The sequence below is a fragment of the Homo sapiens genome, chromosome 8, assembly GCF_000001405.40.
Source record: "Homo sapiens chromosome 8, GRCh38.p14 Primary Assembly".
Lineage (NCBI taxonomy): Eukaryota > Metazoa > Chordata > Mammalia > Primates > Hominidae > Homo > Homo sapiens.
The window spans coordinates 52,143,319-52,162,932 of NC_000008.11; the positions used below are offsets into that span (position 1 = coordinate 52,143,319).

At 38.4% G+C, this 19,614-nt stretch overlaps 1 protein-coding gene across 61 annotated transcripts in view; it reads right to left on the reverse strand.

Moving 5' to 3' along the window:
* The window catches only part of ST18 (ST18 C2H2C-type zinc finger transcription factor), a 299,042-nt gene that overhangs the window by 32,481 nt on the left and 246,947 nt on the right, over nt 1–19,614 (reverse strand). For 51 of the 61 annotated variants that reach the window (NM_001352836.2, NM_001352833.2, NM_001352830.2 and 48 more), the window contains 3 exons: nt 18,057–18,250; nt 15,580–15,791; nt 6,414–6,659 (listed from right to left, as the gene is read on the reverse strand). In NM_001352836.2, the coding sequence (NP_001339765.1) occupies nt 6,414–6,659; nt 15,580–15,791; nt 18,057–18,250 (652 nt within the window). The remainder of the gene's footprint in view (nt 1–6,413; nt 6,660–15,579; nt 15,792–18,056; nt 18,251–19,614) is intronic. The other 10 variants (NM_001352871.2, NM_001352872.2, NM_001352876.2 and 7 more) reach the window with 1 other exon arrangement.

Sequence of the window (19,614 nt, forward strand, 5' to 3'; positions counted from 1 at the left end):
TACCAAAAATACAAAAATTTGCTGGACGCTGTGGTGCGTGCCTGTAGTCCCAGTTACTCAGGAGGTTGAGGCAGGAGAATTGCGTGAACCCGGGAAGCGGGGGTTACAGTGAGCCGAGATGGCTCCACTGCACTCCAGCCTGGCGACAGAGCAAGACTCCGTCTCAAAAAAAAAGAAAAGAAAAGAAATAAATGAGATAATAAGAATATGTCCTGGTTGTTACAGATCTTTATCCTAAGTGAAGAATGAAAAAGTGTAATTGATATGGAACACCTTTCAAAAGTTCACATTTTGGCAAATATGATTACAGAGGTAGGTATTTCTTGACCCATGTAATTAATATTTTAGTATATTTCAAGGTTTCTTGTATTAGGAATGCTCCCTAGAGAGCACAGGAATTGTTTATATGTCCAGCAGTCATAACAGCAGTAAAACCAAAGAAATATTGCAAAAATGAATCACACAAACTTTTAGACAGAAAAGGGGGAATTTTTGGTTAACGGAATGCCCTTTCTAATGTACAGGTAATTAAGATCTAAATTATTTGTTTAAATATGTAATAACTGAGGCTAAATTAAATTTAGGCATTTAATTTGATCTTTCTGGATAATTGCTTTTATTTTTATATTACTTCCTGTTTTTCTGAAATTACTTCTTTTGCTAAATGGGTATCTTGTAGCACTTTCACTCCTGGATGGAATTTCTTGTTGGATATTCCTAATTTTCATGCCCTTCTCTTAAGTTTAATACTGACCTTGATTTCATAAAGAAGATTCACTAATCCTATCAAACAATTTATTTACCAAGTGATGTATTATTTCACAGATAACAAATGATGGTTTTTCTCAATCACATAATTAGCTTACTTTCATCATTGATCTTGTATCTGGTAAATATAATACTTTCTGGTTTTAATATTAAAATCAGATGAACTAATAAAAAAAACTGTCTTCTAAATCTCAAAAGTACTGATGTACTTAAGGTAAGTAAACTATTTTGAATCGTTCAAAATAATTTTTTTAAATTAAATGAATATAAAAATACTATAGCAAAATATAATTTTAGTAATTCTGAGTCTATATTCAAAAGCAATATGAAAAAAACAAAATTCCTGGATTTTCCCAGCCAAAGAAAAATTCTAAATGCCGATCTCAGTCATCAAGGCAAATGTAATTTTTTTCATTAATTACTTGGCTAACAATTCAATCAATTATTTCACACAAGAGCATACTGTAGTAAATACATTGGTACACTGTCTCAAGTGACATTGTCTTCAGATTACATTAATGAAACCTGATTTAGTACAATTTATCCATATTATTGATGGTATTAAGTGTTTCATTTTGTTTTACTGGTAAATGTTTGAAAACAGAAGCCGATAAAAAGACAGGATTTTAAAATAAAGAGAAATGTATGCTTGATAATAATTCCACACTAGGATGCAAAGAGAAGTGCTAGTTTAATGCTGCCTCCATGGGATCCACAGCAAAATAGATGATTAACACTTACCTTTCAAAGTTTTATGCTGTAAATGGCTAAAATGAAAAAATTCCAAATTTTAAGGCCTTAAACCTGATAATTCCGCCATCTACTTTATTTAGTCCTATCTGGATTTGGCCTGAGTAGTATTTTCCACTATAATTTAGAAATGTCTTGGCTTTTTGAAAGTAGATACAATTGCTAAATCTGATATTGTCTCAATGTGGAACAGCCTTTGTTTTTCTGTTTAGATGCTGATTTTTTTTTTTTTTTAACGAAAACGGCATAAAGTAAAAAGAGCCATTTTATTATTTATGGCAAAGTTATGAACAAAGTCTCTCTAAGAAGACATGTATATTTACAGATTACCACAAGTTTCTAGCTGTTGTTTTAGGGCTGAATCTATAATTATGGAAGGCAAGAGAATGGGGAATTTTGAAAGAAATAATCAATTATGAAAGTTTAAGTTATTTTACTAAATAATATAAACATAAAGCTTGCAGGATATATGTTATTTATTTTGGTATAGTAATATGTGGTAATGTTTCAACAGGATAATTTTATTGCATACGACCTTTTAAATATTTTGTAACTTTAACACATAGACTCATATGCATACAATAGTTTTATGAAATAATTGTCTTTTCCCCTTTTCTTTGCTCAACATTCTACCCTTAGAAACCTTCAGAGAGTGTATGTATTAAAATCCAGGTGGCTGTCACTAAATAATTAGTTTTGTTATGGAGGCATTTTATATTAAATGAATACCTAAACAGCAGCCAGTGTAAATCAATAGCATTTGTAAAAATCTTTTTCCAAAATTTAAAGTATAATTTTGAAAATAATAATTTTATTTTGTGGTTGTGTAAAAGAGGATGTGGTATATATGTGTGTGTTTAGAGAGTACATGCATGCAATGAAATTCCTTTAACGTACAGATGGAAGTTTATATTGATTTCAGTAAAGACCAGGACATAATGGTAACATGAATAACAGATAATAGCATCTGGCACTCTTAACATTTTAAGCCCTGAAATCTTTGGAGAACTGACAGTTGAATGAAACTGACAGCCCTAGTTATTTCTCAACACTTTCCTTTCGAGATATTTTGAGTTTTTTCCAGATTCAGGAATTTTTTTTAGGGGGCATCTGGACAGGCTATTTCACTGAGAGAGACAGACAATATTTTCTGAAAATTACCACCAAAATTAAGCAACTGTTGTGCATATGAACTAGATAACAATGAATTAGAAATAATCACTCAATTTCTGGTTGTGTATGTGTCTTATGTGGTCGGGGGAGAGGGAAGTGGCAAAGGGAAAGACGTGGGTGGGAGCAGGGACATAACCATATTCCAGTCTCCAAATGTGAACAATAGATTGTCTGGAACGCACATAGCTATTCCAGGGAAGCTCACTGGAAAGTCACAAGAAAGGATCAGTCCTGGAACTGTTTTTTGTGGTCACATTGCATGGACTTGCCTGGATCACAGGAGCTCCAGTCCTGTACCCGCAGAAACACTTTAGACAACTGTTGCCGCCAACACACCTTGCCACCTGCCATTTCTTCATTCTTCTCTTTTTTCTTTCCTATTAAATTTTTCTCAATAACCCCTAAGCAGTCTCCAGTTTTTGGTGATTTTTTTTTCTTTTCCTTTTCCTCATTTACCTTCTTCTCTTTTTTTTCTTTGTTGTAGGGAATTCCAGGCCTATTACTTAATTTCATATGACCAGGAGCAACAACTTTACCCCCCTCACATTTCTCCTCTAAAAAATCTGATAATAATCCTGCTTTTCAAGATTGTTGGGATAATGAGACATTGCGTATAAAGGTTCCTTATCTGTATTTTATTGCACGTGGTATCCCTCTGATAGCTTGTCAATGAGCGCATTTAATACAATCTAATTTTTCAAAATAATGCCTACCAAACATTACATTTTTCATTTTCAAGATTCAGAACAGGATGTGAAAAATACTGTTAGTAGATTACCTTGGCACGGATGAAGGAACAGAGAACAAGAGTGAGAAACCATATCAGGAGTTAGAGTGATTCAGAAGTACTTTTATGTGTGTGTCTCCACCAGCCTCAGCTTTCCCAACCAATGAATCACCCTGTTCAGATAACTGGGACAATAAGCATTTAGCTTAAACAAATATTCTGTCAGCTCAAACCTAGGGCAAGCACACTGAGTCCAAGACCTCACTTAGCATCTCCAAAGTCCTCTCTGATACTCTTAGTGACACTGAATTCCCACATAGCTTCTAAATTCCAGATGTCACAATACTTAGGTTGAAAATTGTAGCAGTCCAAGCCTGTGTTGTCAGACCTGGAGTAAGTAAGCCATTCTGTAAAGAGCATCAATCCACTCTAAAGAATCCCATCTTGTGTGTGTGAATTTGCTGGGAAATGAAACACTGTCCCAGATATATATGCATGAGAAAAAAACAGACTCAAGTCTACCAAGATGAATCCAGATGATTTTTTGAAATTAAGCAAAAAACAAGATTAAAAAGTAACATAAAATATTTCTTATGAAATCTCATTTTCTGGCTTTCTGGGTGATAAGAACTGTGGCTAAGGAAGTGATAGGAATGGGTTTCTGAGAATCTGAAGAGTGCAATGTTGACATCCTTGCTGAGGGCACAAAAGTATAATCAGTGTCAAACAACGCAAGACACCCTAGATGAAGATGAGAACCTATTTGAAGCAAATGTGTTTTGTTACTACCCAGGATTGGAGGCTTATGCCTGACAATTTCTGGTGAATACATTCGCCATAATCATAAGGATGAGTGCAGAAAGCCCAAGTGCCACTCTGCATACGGCATCGAGATATTCCCAGAAATGAGAACATGTTGGGATTTTGAACCTGCATGAAGCAGTTATACTTAATTCATGAGACACTGTCCTTCCTGTAGCATAAGGACTTCTACTGGACCCACATCCACACATCCTGGGTCAAGGGTCAGGTTTCCCTTTAGGTCTGTAGATGCAATGTGCCATGATCTGAGCAGCAGTGGCCTGGCTGGAGATTAAGCAGTCATGTGAATTGAAGCGCATTCCCTTACCCAAAGCTAACTCGTATGTAGTAGGACTGCGCCAACAATTTTGATCTCATCACAATTGTGCCTCTTAACCTGTCCACTTCCTGGCTTGCTGCTTACTTCCATTTCAGACAAGATGTGCAGGATACTCGAGGGATGTGAACACTGACAGACTTTTAGATGATACACGTAGACATAATTAGGTGTAACCTCTGTTTTTTGGCACAAGCCTGAGGTGGCAGTGGGCACAGTGGTTGGGGAAAGATGCACACTTGCCAGTTTGTGGTCGTCATTTGAGGCAAATGAGCTTCTTAAACTTTGCTGGCATCAGTTTCACATTCGTTATCATCAAATATGTATTATTTTAATAAATGATTCTTCTAAAATAGTACTATGATAGATTGATTAAGGCCATCCTTGGACGCTTTGGGTGAATTTTGAAAAGCCAAGCAGAATAAAATGACTAAGGCCAGTATGACAGAATCTAATCAAAAGCTGCAGTGTGTGAATCCCCTCATCCTTCCATGTGATGGCTTGAGTGGTGGAGACACACAGGCTGCCTCAGATGCTGAGGATGTCTCCCAGGGGTCCACACCCAGCCACCTGATGCAGTTAGCCATTCCTCCCTCTCCACATTGTGTGCCTGTGCGTGCTACTCTGTTTATCAGTGTATTTGGCTACAGGTCAGTCTTCTGAGCACATGCATGACTGTGGCACACAAGCATGGTGGAAGTGTGTCCTATTCATTGCTGTATCTCCAGGTCCCATGTCACTGACTGGACTTGGAGATGTTGGCAAAACTGTGCTGAAGGAAAGAAGGAAGAAAGGAAGGAAGGAAGGGAGAGAGGGAAGGAGGGGAGGAGGGGAGGGGAGGGGAGGGGAGCGATGGGAAGGGAAGGGAAGGGGGAAAGAAAAACAGCCCAATCTTGTGATCAAAACTGTGTACGTTGACTTATACTTTGAGATGTTAAGCATGTGCAAAAATCAAATTAGATCTCATCACCCAAAGTCTCTAAACTTCAAAAAGCTGTAAAAGGCGCTGCACACTTCTGCAGAGAATGGCTATTTCAGTTCTTTACACATATCAACTGGCAAGCCCATCAACAACTTCCCTGACAAAGAGCAAAATAGGACTGACTTACTGTAATAATTAAGGCCACATCTGCAATTACACAGAGTCTAAACAACCGAGGGTTCTGGCTGTCAGTTCTTTCGAATGACACTGAGTAGTCCATGGCTAATCAGGCCTAGTCAGGTGGCTCAAGCCATAAGGCGAAGGTTAGATGAATTCCTGCACTGTCGCACCATCTGGCTTTCAGGGCCAAAACCACCTCCAAGATAATCAAATACACAAATAGGTCTCCTTGACTTCAAGATTAATTCAATTTAGACATCCAACATTTCGATCCAATGCCTTAAACAATGAGTCTATACATAGGTATGCTAACACAGTCCCTTCACAAAACCATGGAAAGAAATTTGACATGACTCAAAGATTCTTACTTGACCCTGATTTGATTTCATCTTCAACCCTCTGGTTCAGAAAGAATTAGTAAGCTGGCATTTCAATGTTGAGCAATACATTGCCCCTTACAGCTGCTATATGAAGGGATAGATAATATAATCTCTTGTGCAGGGCACAAAATTTCAGCCTTAATAGGAATAAAATCTACTATAGTGACATTATTTTAGGCAAGTGATAATAAAAGTTGGATTTGTTAATGAATTTCCTCTGACATTAAAAATCACCACTTTATCAAAATCTAAAGCAAGGTACAGAATTATGTATTATCTAAACAGGAATGTGAAATATAATTTAGGAGGGAAAAGCTAGTGATACCCTGCAATCATGCTGTCTTCAACTTATTGATTGACATATGGAAACAATACCTCTTTCTCCTCCTCTGTCTTCCCGTGAGTTTTGCTATAGTTGATAGGAGTGTCCCAGCCCTCTTGGTCACAAAGAGCCTGATAGAATGCTGCATTGACCAGAATGCTGCTTGTTTTGAATGGGGAAGAGGAAGGAGTTGGAATAGAAGTGTTAGAGGAAGTTAGGGGTGCAGACTTGTCCAGGATTCGATTTTTTTTCATGCTTAAGTCCAATGTGCCATTTTCATCCACTTCTATTTCGGCTCCCTGGTATACAATAGGAAACAGAAAAACATTTAAGCAGTTTGCAGTTACAGCCTAGCCATGTGGGGCTTTTAAGGGATCATTTTAAATGTAAGCTTTTATGTAAGTATATCTGCTTTTAAATCTAGCTTTCTGATTTGCGTTGGGTAATGTTCAATTCTTAGGCAGACTTTAAGAACAGCCCCATTAGTGAGCTTTGTGTTTCTGGGTTTAAACAAAGTAAGCTTAATGTAAATAAGATGCTCCAAATACTAAATATATTGGCTAAAACAGTTTTATGAAAATGTGTGTGTGTGTGTGTGTGTGTATATATATGTGTATATATATACACATACACACACATTTACAAGTTTAGCTTTAAATCTTCTTTTCTAGTTTACAGAATTATCACTCCCAATTCATCATTTAAAGCATTCACATTTGTGTTTATCAAAAGGCATGTATAACTTTCCAACCCTTCAAATCATAATATTAATCTCACATGAGAAATATGCAAAACAACCCACTGGAAGAGAATTTTTATTGGAATATTAAACTAATATAAAAGCAACATTTTACCCTAGGCTATGTGAGCCGGAAATGCTTTGCTAAATTGTGGCGGGCAGGGAGAGGGAGGCAGGGAGTGCAAACCATGCTTCAAACCGGTGGTGGTGGGGGCGGTGCTTTGGGTAGCAGCTGACAGCCTGACTGAGGTTGAAGCCCTATAGTGCAAACTTAAGAATACTATAAAACAGCTTATTTTCTCCACACTTAGTGTGAGACTTAAAACTAAATCCACCGCACAATATTTCTTCTTGAGATACCTTCTACCTTTTGCCATGTGTTATTTCTTGGTTTTGTTTTTTCTGTGTCGGGAGGAACAGTACCCCATTCTGTATTTGGTTCAAGCTCCAGCAAACTGCTCACGTGCCTCGTATGTTCTACAAGATTCGCACACTGGGATGGCTCATGTGGTGTCATGAATTGTGAACATTACTGTGCAGTCATTCTCAGAAGGTAGGAGGAAGCTGCCTGTCATTTTTCTAAATGGGTCGAATAACACCTTTCTGGTATTTTCGCCATCATCCATCAATTTAAAATTAACTTCTTGACAATTTGGCTACTCTCTTTTTTTCTCTTGGCTGGCCACTCTTCTTTGAATATTTAGCAAGATCCTTAACTCTTGTGGTAACCAGCTACTTCCCAGGGGATTTGTTTTAACTCTTCCCTTTAAACAACCCCCCACTCCCAACCCCCAAACAGGCGCCACTGGGCTGCATCAGCTGGGCTTGCTGCTTGTGCCCGACTTAGAAAATAAAAGCCCTTCTTTTATTTGCTTATTTTACCTGCAAAGTTTGTATTTTCAATCTCTCAGCCTATGAGATAGATATGCTTTACTATATTTGTGGGAGGTAAATACGCTTCTAATATGTTGTACTAAGATGCTTTGGCCGTATCTTTCTGTCCCTTTTTAGTAAATAGTTTAATCTCTCGTGATAGTTTTAAGCCCGGAATTTGGCAGTACAGCTTATCCGGGATAATAACTTAGTAACCACAACATCTTATGCCATCTGTATAATATCAAATACATTTTTATACCAGCATTAATAAACCTTAGTTACAAAAATCCAAGATATTAACCATATCAGTGCCACGTGTGCTCTCTCTCCATGATCTCACAATGTATTCTGCCAGGAGCGCATCAAAACAATTTTTGGCTTCGTAGCTGATATGTAAATAGCAATGAAACAGAGCTATAGTAATCAAGTTTAATGGCCAACGTAAAGTAAAATGCTAAATATTGTAGTTGCTGACATTTTTCATAAAAAAATAAAAAAAAACTTGGGTTAAGACTGCACAACCAACATTCACATAAAATTCCAGACCTCTGTGACAGATGGCTTAGGAAAAAGAAGCCATGTGACTGGGCTGCAGAGTTTTATAGTGCAAAACCCATAAATAGTGCAGATTCGATTTCTCTGAAAAATATCAACTCTTCCAAGACAAGACTAATATATATTTTAGTTTTTACAGGCAAAAATTCTAAATAGTCCATTAAGACAATGATAGATTCTAGGAGTTGTTACGATTATACATTTCGAGTCAATTACTCCTAATGTTTAAAAGAGGCGCTTTCCTGCATCCTGCGCCCAGCCTGCTGCTCTGAGCACCTGACTTCACTGGGAGAGAGCGGGCGGCTCACTGGGGAGCAGGGTACAGATGGGCCTTAAGTGAGCGCACAGATGCCTTCAACAATTACATGCAGTACCAGAGAAGGGTCCCTTTCTGCCCATAGATAGGCGATCACACGTTTACAGCATGGGCTTTTATTCAGAGCAGTATCAATGGGCATCACTTCTCTCTGTGCTTGAAACTCCAAATGGCAGCACAAAAAGGAGGGAGGGGCTGGGGAAGCTGTGGCAGATATGCATCCCCCACCCCCTCAATCTTCTAATATTCTGATTTCTTCAAGTGCTATTCTGGATCTTTAGTTTAAGTATTTCAATGTAAAGTTCTCTTGGGGGTAGGTATAGGATTACTACTATTCATGTTCTTTCCGACTTAGAGGGGACATCCCAGGCCATCGATTTCAGCCACTTTTGAGCTACCTGATGCTACCTACATTTTATTTATTCATTAAGTTATTGAGAAAGTACTTCATATTTTTAAGACACTATATTCTAGGGAAAGTAAAATTGGAAAACAGGTTGTTTCTGCCTTCAACAAATTTCTTTTTTATGCATATAGATTTTTAGTGAAGGTAATTTTATAAATTTAATGTAAATTATAATTAAACTGAAGGTTGAACTAATTACTCATTGTAATCCTTACCTTTACTATAAAATAAGAAGTGACCTAGATGGCCGCCAACAGAGAAATACTTAATGAAAATATGCCACCCCTATTTAATGGCACATTATGTGGTCAGGAAAGTGATAATTATGAACACTGTTTCTACATGGAAAATACTTGTATCACTGACAGCAGAGAACAATGTGGCATTCCTACTATGTTTACAACTAGGGAAAAAAGAGAGAAATGTGTTTTCTGAAAAAGAACAAAAAGGAAAACACAAAAGTGATTGTAGATCCTTGTATGTAGAAGGTAGGCTTGTGGCTATTTTCTTCCATTATTTTTCAGGCAAATGACAACATTATATTGTTTTAGCAATTTTAAGTGGTCACACATTCAAAGTTTGTGATGAAGTAAAAATAAAATTGGAATTTTAACTTAAATGTTATCTTGTGAAAATTATTAATTTTCCAAACATTGATAAAACAAGAAAGCACTGTTTTCCTGACTTGGCAAGCTGTCTTATGAATACAGGATGGGTCACCTGCCATTTTTTCCCTGTTGACTTGGCTGAGAGGAAGTGCAAAACTAAGTGTCCTTCTGATTAGGTTTCTGCCATAATTAGCCCCTGGCTTTCATCTAGCAGCTGATGTTTTTTATTCTTGCTTCAAGGTTTTTGTTTTGGGAGTATCTTTTCCATACTGAAAGCTATGTTAAATATGTTTTCAAAGTAGGCAGGGTATTAACAGTAAACAGATGAAATGAAAATATCTTACTCTTACTAAACGGTAATTATTAAAGCTGTTTAGATTATAAATTTGTGAAATATACTCAAAATAAATAGAGGAGAAATGATCAGAGGAGAAATAACTAATGTAAGGTATAAAATTTAAGTGAAATTTAAAACAGCTTCCCCAAGATCTTTGGGACTTGGAATCATGGTCCACGCTGCTTGGCCAGCAGCTTAGCTACTCTAAGATCTTAAGAAGAGAAGTTAGACAGGCATGAGTTCAAATTTCTGTTTCAACAGTTATAGTTGTGCCACTCAGAGAAAGTAATTTAGTATCTCTGTACTACTGTTTCTTTATCTGCAAAATGGGATAATAATATCTGCTTTACAGAAATTCTAGAGGGATTAAAAGGGATTAATGTGAGCCACATGCTTGCTTATAGTACCTGGCACATAATACGTCTTCCATAAATGACAGCTGATAATCATAATAATTTGACTGAGTTTGTTTTTCCAACTTCTACTTTAGATTCAGGGGATTGGACTAGGTTTTTGAATACGAAAAGAGACATGTTCTTAGGTTACTGTGCACAGGGCTAAAAAGCCAATTATTAAATAGCTGTTTCCTTGCACCTGTATCAACCAGTGCCTTGTGATCCCTGACCCAAGACCGTCATAACATTTCACTCAGAATGTGTGGCAAATCTGCCCTGCTCTTAAAGTTACCAGAAAAGGCGGCATCAGGGTTCTCACCGCCCAGAGGGCCGCCAGACTTCCTGATACCAGGCGGCAAGAATGGCGGTGCCACATCATGTTATTTCTAGGCCTTGTTCAAGCACAAAACAGACTTTGAACTTTAAACATTTCAAGCAAGTGTCAATTTTTTGTTTTCTTTTAAGGCACACTCTGCATATGCCATTTTGTCTAAACAGGTGGGGAAAACACCAAAACAAACAACAGAATGCCTGGCAAGCAGCAGCGATGAGGATAAAGATAGACTGCAAGGCCTGTTCCTACCTCTGGTGATCAGGGTGGGAGGAGGGAAGAAAACGGGAGTGCATCTGCCTGGGGCCTGTACCGGAGGAAGATGCTCAGGAGGCCCAGCAGACCCAGGACTCTCTCCCACCTGTGGCCCCGTGGCAAGACCAAAGGGGAGCTCTTTGGAGCTGTGGCCCCTTTGTGTCTTCCAAATCATATTAATTCCAAATTAAAATGAAGGACATTATATGCATCTTACAACCAAGTTCTAGAATCAGGCCGAGTACAGTGGTTCATGCCTGTAATCCTAGAATTTTGGGAGGCTGAGGCAGGAGAATCTCACATGAGCCCAGGAGTTGAAGGCTGCAATGAGCTATGATCACATCACTGCACTCCAGCCTAGGTGACAGAGCAGATCCTCTCAGAAAAAAAAAAAAAAGAAAAAAAAGTTTTAGAATCAAAATAAAGCTGGTATTGTGGCTCACACCTGTAATCCCAGCACTTTGGGAGGCCGAGACGGGCGGATCACCTGAGGTCAGGAGATCGAGACCAGCCTGGCCAACATGGTGAAACCCTGTCTCTACTAAAAATACAAAAATTAGCCGGGTGTGCTGGCGCACGCCGGTAGTCCCAGCTGCTTGGGAGGCTGAGGCAGGAGAATCACTTGAACCCAGAAAGCAGAGGTTGCAGTGAGTGAAGATAACACCAATGCACTCCAGCCTGGGTGACAGAGTGAGACTCTGTCTCAAAAAAAAAAAAAATTAAATTAAATAAATAAAGCTAATACTTCAGACAAATTTACCTTTAACCATTATGTCATCCACTAAGCACTGATAGTGTTAATTGTTTTTCCCTGATTTAATTCCTCAAAGAGATACTTAAAACATATGTAGGCAATATTGGTGGTACAAATATGTTATATATATGTTGGATTGTATTTTAACAAATAAATAATTCCTTTGAAAATCTTCTGCCTCTGGGACATAATGGGCTCTGGTTTGGGCAGTGATTGGCAATGTCACAAGCACTGGTGCCTTCAGGCTGGGGTGTGATGGGAGCCGGCACTTGAGGGATGCTGGTTGAGTGAATGGATGACCATGTGAACAGCAGCATGAGCCTTCTGTGTTGGGAAGGGGTGGATCAGTGACGTCTTCCAGTTTTGGAGGCCAAGAGACTTTGCAAGGAGGATAGCATTTTGGAATGTCCATATCATCCTTCGTTATATTTTTAGAGTGTGTAGGAAATCAAAGTTTTTTTGCCCCTCTGAAAACAACCTCTGCTCCTATGATCTTCTACAAGATCATTTGCAATTTTACAAAGCACCAATTCAGATTGCCCATTAAGCTTGGAGTCTGTTGTGAGATTGCATACAGCCAGTTAACATGTATTAGCCCCAATATATGGGCATGAAGGCAATTTCAAAGTTAGTGTTCTTTGGCTTGATGTCAAAAAGATTGTGCCCATGGGTGACAGTAAGATCTGTAATTCATACTCCTATGGGGTGCTTTATGCAAATGAGAGATGCTCATTGTGTAAAGGAAAGAACTGGATGCAAGCAGAGGAGAATTGAGAAATCAGCCCTCACCCAAGTTCTGGTCAAATTCCCTGCAAAGCCACCATGCCTGCCCTGGATGAAAGGAAGCTCACCTCTTCAAGCTTAGCTCTTTACCCAGAGCCATGCAAGGCAGGGACAGCTCCCAGAGGGTCACTTCTTTTCTCTTGCTTTGTTGGTAAGCTCCTCAAGGGCAAAGTCTATGACTGACCCTAACCTGTGGCCGGGGCAGTCCAGCACTTAGAGACCTTTGGTTGGTTCAGCTATGAGTCCATCACCAGGATGTCTTGCTAATATACCAAAAGTGCTCAGCTGTGAAAGTTTGGAGTAAGGAGAAGCTGTACATTTCAAGACGCTTATTTCTACACATGAAACTCAAGAGATCCTTGGATTTGAGCTATGAGAAATAAGCGTACTAATAGCCTGCCATGGTGGAAGAATCAAATAATAGCAGAGAGATAATCAGGCTAGCATTCAATGTGGAGGTGAAGTCTGTCTCTGCTTAATCCTACATTAAGTAAAAGGCAGCACTGATAACAGAAAAGGCCTACATCAGACATGGTTTCATCAGAGGCTCAGTTTCAGGGTGAATTACCTTGGCTTTCTCTCACTTTTGCTAAAATAATTATCTTGTTAATTCAGGAATAAATGAGATTCTCTTCAACATTAAGAAAATAAGGTCCAACCAGGACAGAATTCTAGACATTGTTACAGTTGTGTGCAAATGTGTGCACGTGCGTGTGTGCATGTGTGTGTGTGTGCATGCACTGGCAGAAGGATTCTGCACAAAGTGACAATCTAGGGCACGATGTTTCTCCCATTTTAGCAACTACTATGCAAAGGAGACAATTTTCATGGGAAAATGGTTTTTAGAACTCCCAGCATAACAAACTCCTTTGGGAAGTCAATCTGTGTGCTCTCTGTCTCTTCCACCCTCGTCACCACATCAATTGTTTGGCTTCTGCGGTTAAGACTTGGTTGGCACTGAAAGGCTGAGGCGTGCGGCGAGCTCCTGTCACCTGGGCATGCAGGATGAGCTCCGTGGAGCAGTCTGGCACAGAGTGCTCCCGCCAGGAGCCCAAGAACACAACACTGAAAATCTACTGTTTGATTTTTTGAAACGTGTCCATTTAACAATTGCTTTTCTAACCAAAAATATGTTTTTAAAATAGAACACATATTGATAAGGGGAAAAGCCCTGTAATTTTAGTCATCTTTGTTTGATATGTTGCTTGGTGTCATTGTCATAGAAGATGGAGAATCTGAAGGTGAGAGGCAGAATTCTGAGGAACAGGAACACATCTACAGGCACAGATGGACAGCATTCATTCTAGAACCACTTACCGTAGTCATTTCAGTAACACCAATAATTATAATATTGGTTCCTGTATTCTCATAGGACAGCCTGAATAACCAAATGATAAGGCACTAAGAAGGAAGCGATTTTAGTATTTCTCCAAGCAGATGGCTACTAGAATAGATACCTTTTAAAAGAAGGAATTTATTCAGATTAAAAAAATGAATTTAAAAATAAAGTTGCATTTAAAAATTCCCTAAATCACCTATGTAAATAATTTGTGACTAGGAATCTTTTGAATTTGGATCGCCTGGTATACATATGCATGTATTTTTTATTTTTAGAGGATGTATTTCTCTTTGTTTAAGAACCTCATTTGTTTAAAAATTGTTTTTGAGTGGTTTTTGGCCACCAACTCTTCCTGGGGTTTACTTGGCTCAGCTTTGTCCAGAAGCTAATTCTGATTCTTCTGTCAAATGCTCAGTGGCACCGTGTTACCTGCTCTCCTGAAGGCCTGGCACAGCACAGGCAGCAGCTGACCATGCCGGGGACCGGCACACTTAAAGGGGAAAAGAGGAGCCATGGTCTTCAAGTGCCCAGGTTTCAGGGTTAGCATTTGATGCAGAAAATCTTCCACATAAAGCAGGGTAACATTTATTCTCAAGTAAGTCTAGGCAACTTATTTCAGTGGCTTCAGCCATCTAGGTAGGGAAATCATTTCTTTGAACTGAAGCACTTTCTGTAAATAGGAGTTCCTGCTCCAGCTGACAGCAGGTGCAAATGGCTGAGCCACTTTTACAAGCTCTGTGGATCGCTGTGACTGTGGCATCAGAAGCCCTTTGCTGTCAAAGGGCATGAAGGATCTTTGTTTTTTGGTTTTCATAAAATTACTTCTTATTGTCAATTGGGGAGGAAAGGAGAGGGTATTGGAGAAATGTGATTAATTTCATGGGCTTCAGAAGTGTGGTGTTTTTAAAACTTCACAGAATGTGATTTTGTATTTGAATGCCCTGAGGTCTCAACCCTCCCTGAATCATCTCCTGTTGATTTAATGTATTCATGTTCTACCATGTGTCTCTGGAGAATACTGTGGCAACTTAGACTATCTTATGTTACACAATAGTAACAAATGCAATGATAAAATTTCATGGGTCAATTTTGCAAATGTTTCACAAGTCACCATTTGATCACACATTTCTTACCTTCTTTGATTTGCAGACACTGAAAAGCTTCCATTGTTGAGATTTATTTTAATAGCAATCCTCTTTTCTTGTGTGCCAAATTCCCCATAGCAAAAACAGCTTTGAAATGTGTAAATTCTCCCCAACCCATCTCTGTAACTCACTTCTCCCCAAACTTTGGTACCCCAACTTCAAGAGGAGCCACAGAGCAGGATGTGCACACTTTCATCCTTCTTTGACCCCACCAAGCTCATCCCTGCCTGCGTTCCTCTGAGCCTCTTCCTGAGACAGGGAGGGGATCGCTTCAGAGGTTGGGGAGCAGAGTGGTAGTGAATGTAGTTAGGAACATGAAAGGCAGTTTATTCTCACAGTTCAGTCGCTGGCCCACCCTCCGGGCTCTTGGACTGGCCTACCTTGGCATGCAGACTCTGTGGCTTGTTGGAGAGGATGTCTGTGGCTTCCCTGCAGCGGGTGGAAAGGTTCAGGATGGCAGCAGCTGCTGCTATGTGGGTGTCTTCACTACATTGACCGTAGCTATAAGAGCTGGCACGGCCAGGGCTCTGGGTGTGGGCGCCTGCACTAGGCAGTCGATTAGGAAATTTCACTGGATTTGGAAAATGCTTTGCTGTTGAAGAGAGATTTGATTAGCAATTGCATGTACATGGTTTTAGTCATTAAACAGATTTGTTTTTTTTAAAAATGTAACTTCTTGCATTAAAATATGTGAAGAATAAATTAAAACACGTTCCATTATCCATGGGAACATTAAATGAAGGTTATCCAGACCGGTTTTCACAGAGATTCACAGAACAAATGACATAATTGCTGGGAGAGAATACCTATTCTCTTAATATTTTTGTATTTACGCTTCTTATGACAAAAACTCCATAACTAATGTTATGGGGCAGGTGCACTGGCAACATTTGTGGCAAAAATTGTAGATAAAAAAACACACTAGCAAAACCTCCCAGGGACTACAGAGAGTTTAAGGCATGCCCATTGGAAAACTGCATATATGTGAGGACCGGTGATTCCAGTGGCGGAAAAAAAAATGTGTCCTTTCAATATTTGTTTTCACAATAACAATTTCTACTTAGACATGGAATTGTATTTTTATTATTTGATATGCAGGCTTGTTTTGTCCTTAAACCAGTAGAAGTTGTTCTTCATCCAACTAGATGGAACTAAATAGATGGTGGAGTCTTTAATGAGCTGGCATTTTGGCATATTTAGGGAGAGAGAGATAAATAAAGGGCAGGCAGGAAATGTTCTCAAGGTGAACAGAAAGGCAATTTAGTTATCAAGGCTGAGTTTCCATTTTATGTTTCTGTTGTGGGTACCAAGGCATTACTGAGAGATAGAATTAAACATATTTCTCTTCATTCTTGAGTATTTGTAAACATCACTCCAGGTTACAGGAGAAACACTCAAGATTTAATGTGAGCTAATATAAAAGCATTTAGCTTTTTATTTTATATTAAATTTTTTTATTTTAAATATTTGATTCTTTTCATAAAACAAAACTTAAAACACTGGCAAATGTTATATTTCTATAATTACAAGAATATGAAAATGTCACTGAATGTTTTGCACTTTTAAAAATCAATGTCCGTACTATATGAGTACATTGAATGCTCTTATTAACTAGCTTCGCTGGAATTAAACATATATGTATGTACGTATATTGTGTGTATATATAATAAAATTGTATATCTGTATAGGCACACACAAAATTGCATGGATAGATAGATATAAAACTGTGTGTGTACAACTTTTCCCTTAAATCTAACAGGTTGTTAGTGGTTATTTATGTTAGTTGGAAGCTATTTTTGGTAAGATTAGGTAAAATATCTTTTAGAATGTAATGTACCTCTCCCTGATAGGCAAATTCCTTTCAAGTCTGTTTACTACTGGGTTTTACACGAAATTCTAGTTCTCTGAAAGAATTCATCAGCATCACATAATGAGGTAAACATTCTGTGCTCTTAAGACCACTCAGTTTCCATAGCCTGGTGCAAGTTCAAAGGGATTCTATGGCTATGCAGAATGTTGTAAAAAATTCATTGTCTAGGAGAACTCAATGTGCACATTATTTAGCTCTTTCCTTTGTGGAAGTTAAGTGACCATAATGAAGAAATCATGACCTCTATTGGTTCCCAATATTTACTTTCACACCTTTTCATTAGAATGTTTAAGGACCCCAACAACCTGAAGAAATGTGTAAGAAGAAAAAACACCAGGTTTCATACACTATACCATATTTGAGTTATGGTCTTCTATATGGATGTGTTAGCATTAAAGAATATTAATGTATTTTAAGTGTTTCCATATTCATGCTTCAGTTTGGGAGTAAAGATTTCCACAGCCACACAATTTTTTCTATTATAGTAAAATCCTGACTTTCAAATTGTTTCTTAGACTTCTCACCTTCCCTTCCACCTTTAGTTTGAATGCTTTTGCTGAGTTAAATAATATTTTAAACAGCATTTCAACATTTTACCTATTAGATTTCCATAATTTCAATACAAATAAATATTACTGCATTACAACAGTCATCACATTTTTCAATATAGTAATCCAAGCTCCAGCTAACTGTGAGTTAAATATTTCTTTAGAATTATTGTACTTAGATTCAACAATAGCATCATATTTGTAGAATAATTAATTCATTAACTATTCACTATATTATGTGTAACTTCAGCATAAAATCAATAACATTGATCAACTTATTATCGTTTTCTTTATGGTATTTCACTTGAATATATTTTCTCTCCTGCCAGCTGTATGTAGTATATCATATATTTAAGTACAGCCCCCTGGCCCCCAGTACACACATACACCCATACACAAGAAGCATTTTGGGGAAACGGCATTAGAGCTCAAAGCTTACATTCAGGAAATGGTGGTGTTTTTCGTCCTTGCACTGTTTGTATGAGAGGGCGTTTACCGAAAACTTGGGCATCAAAACTGGCATAATCAAATGGTACTTTTCCAAACTTCTCTTGTTCTTTTGACACTGTGGCTCTGGGAGAGGTGATGGCTTGTGACGGGAAATTGAATTCAATTTGCTTCACCAAACTTGTCCTGGAGAGGGGGGTGAAGCAGTTCAAAAGAAATACAATGAAACTACTGGTGAGCACATTAGTGTCAGAATTTACAGTAGATACATGTGTCACTCCTGAAGGTATCCACAGAGACACTGAACAATAAGAGAGACGGGGCCATGGCAGGACAGAGCAGCATGCTCCGGACCCATAGGGCGAGATGGAAAGATGCTCTGGGCTCTACATCACTACATGATGCTGCGTACTCTGGGTCCTAGTCCTCCCATCAGCAAATTAAGAATATGCAATCCTCCATTCATCTTATGAAGATATCATGAGCAGATATTTGATGCTTATTAGCATTTTGAGTTTTTAAAGTTCTTAAAGGAAATCCATGTCAGGTGGGTGCGGTGGCTTACGCCTATAATCCCAGCCGTTTGGGAGGCCAAGGTGGGTGGATCATCTGAGCTCAGGAGTTCGAGACCAGCCTGGCCAACATGGTGAAACCCCTGTCTCTACTAAAAATACCAAAATTAGCCAGGTGTGGTGGCACACATCTGTAATCCCAGCTACTCAGGAGGCTGAGGCAGGAGAATCACTTGAACCTAAGAGGCGGAGGTTGCAGTGAACTGAGATCATGTCACTGCATTCCAGCCTGGGAGACAGAGCAAGACTCCATCTCAAAAAAAACAAAAAAGCCATGTTACCATCAGTAAATACTGGTTAAGGTGCTGACAAGGTGTGCACATTCTGCTTGTTAGAATTGTTCATTAGATTGGCAATGAATAGTCACAATTGTGACCAGTGAGCAAGTGTCATTATATTCTGTTCAGAAGTGATGCTAGGCTCTGCTCAGTCCTGCAGAGCTGGCAGAAATCTGATGCCTAAGAGGGGCAGTACAGACACCAGAGATTTGATTCCTGAATTGGGAGTTTCTTCCTGGGCTTTTCACCTTTTTTCCCTGCCTTCAGTCAGAATGTTTTTGCTGATTTAAGTAATACTTTAAATGGCACTTCAATATTTTATCGATTGAATTGCCATCATCTCAATATGAATCAAAATTACTGTATTATAATATCTATCACATTTTCAACATAATTATCACAATCTAAGCTAAATGTGAATTATATATTCTTTTAGAATGGTTGTTATTTGGATTAAACAAGGGCATCAGATTTGTGTAGCACTGATTCCAGCCAAATAAAACACAAATGATTTTCTGCTGTGGTGTAATGGTAAGAGAACATAAACAAATATACCTTTCAAAATTTAACAATATTAAAAAATATATTTTTCTCTTTTTTCCACCAAAAACTGTCAAACTCATCAGAATGCCAAAGTTTCCAATGAGTTTTTTTTGGATTAGATTTTACAAAAACTTTTTAGCTGCTATATAAAAATATC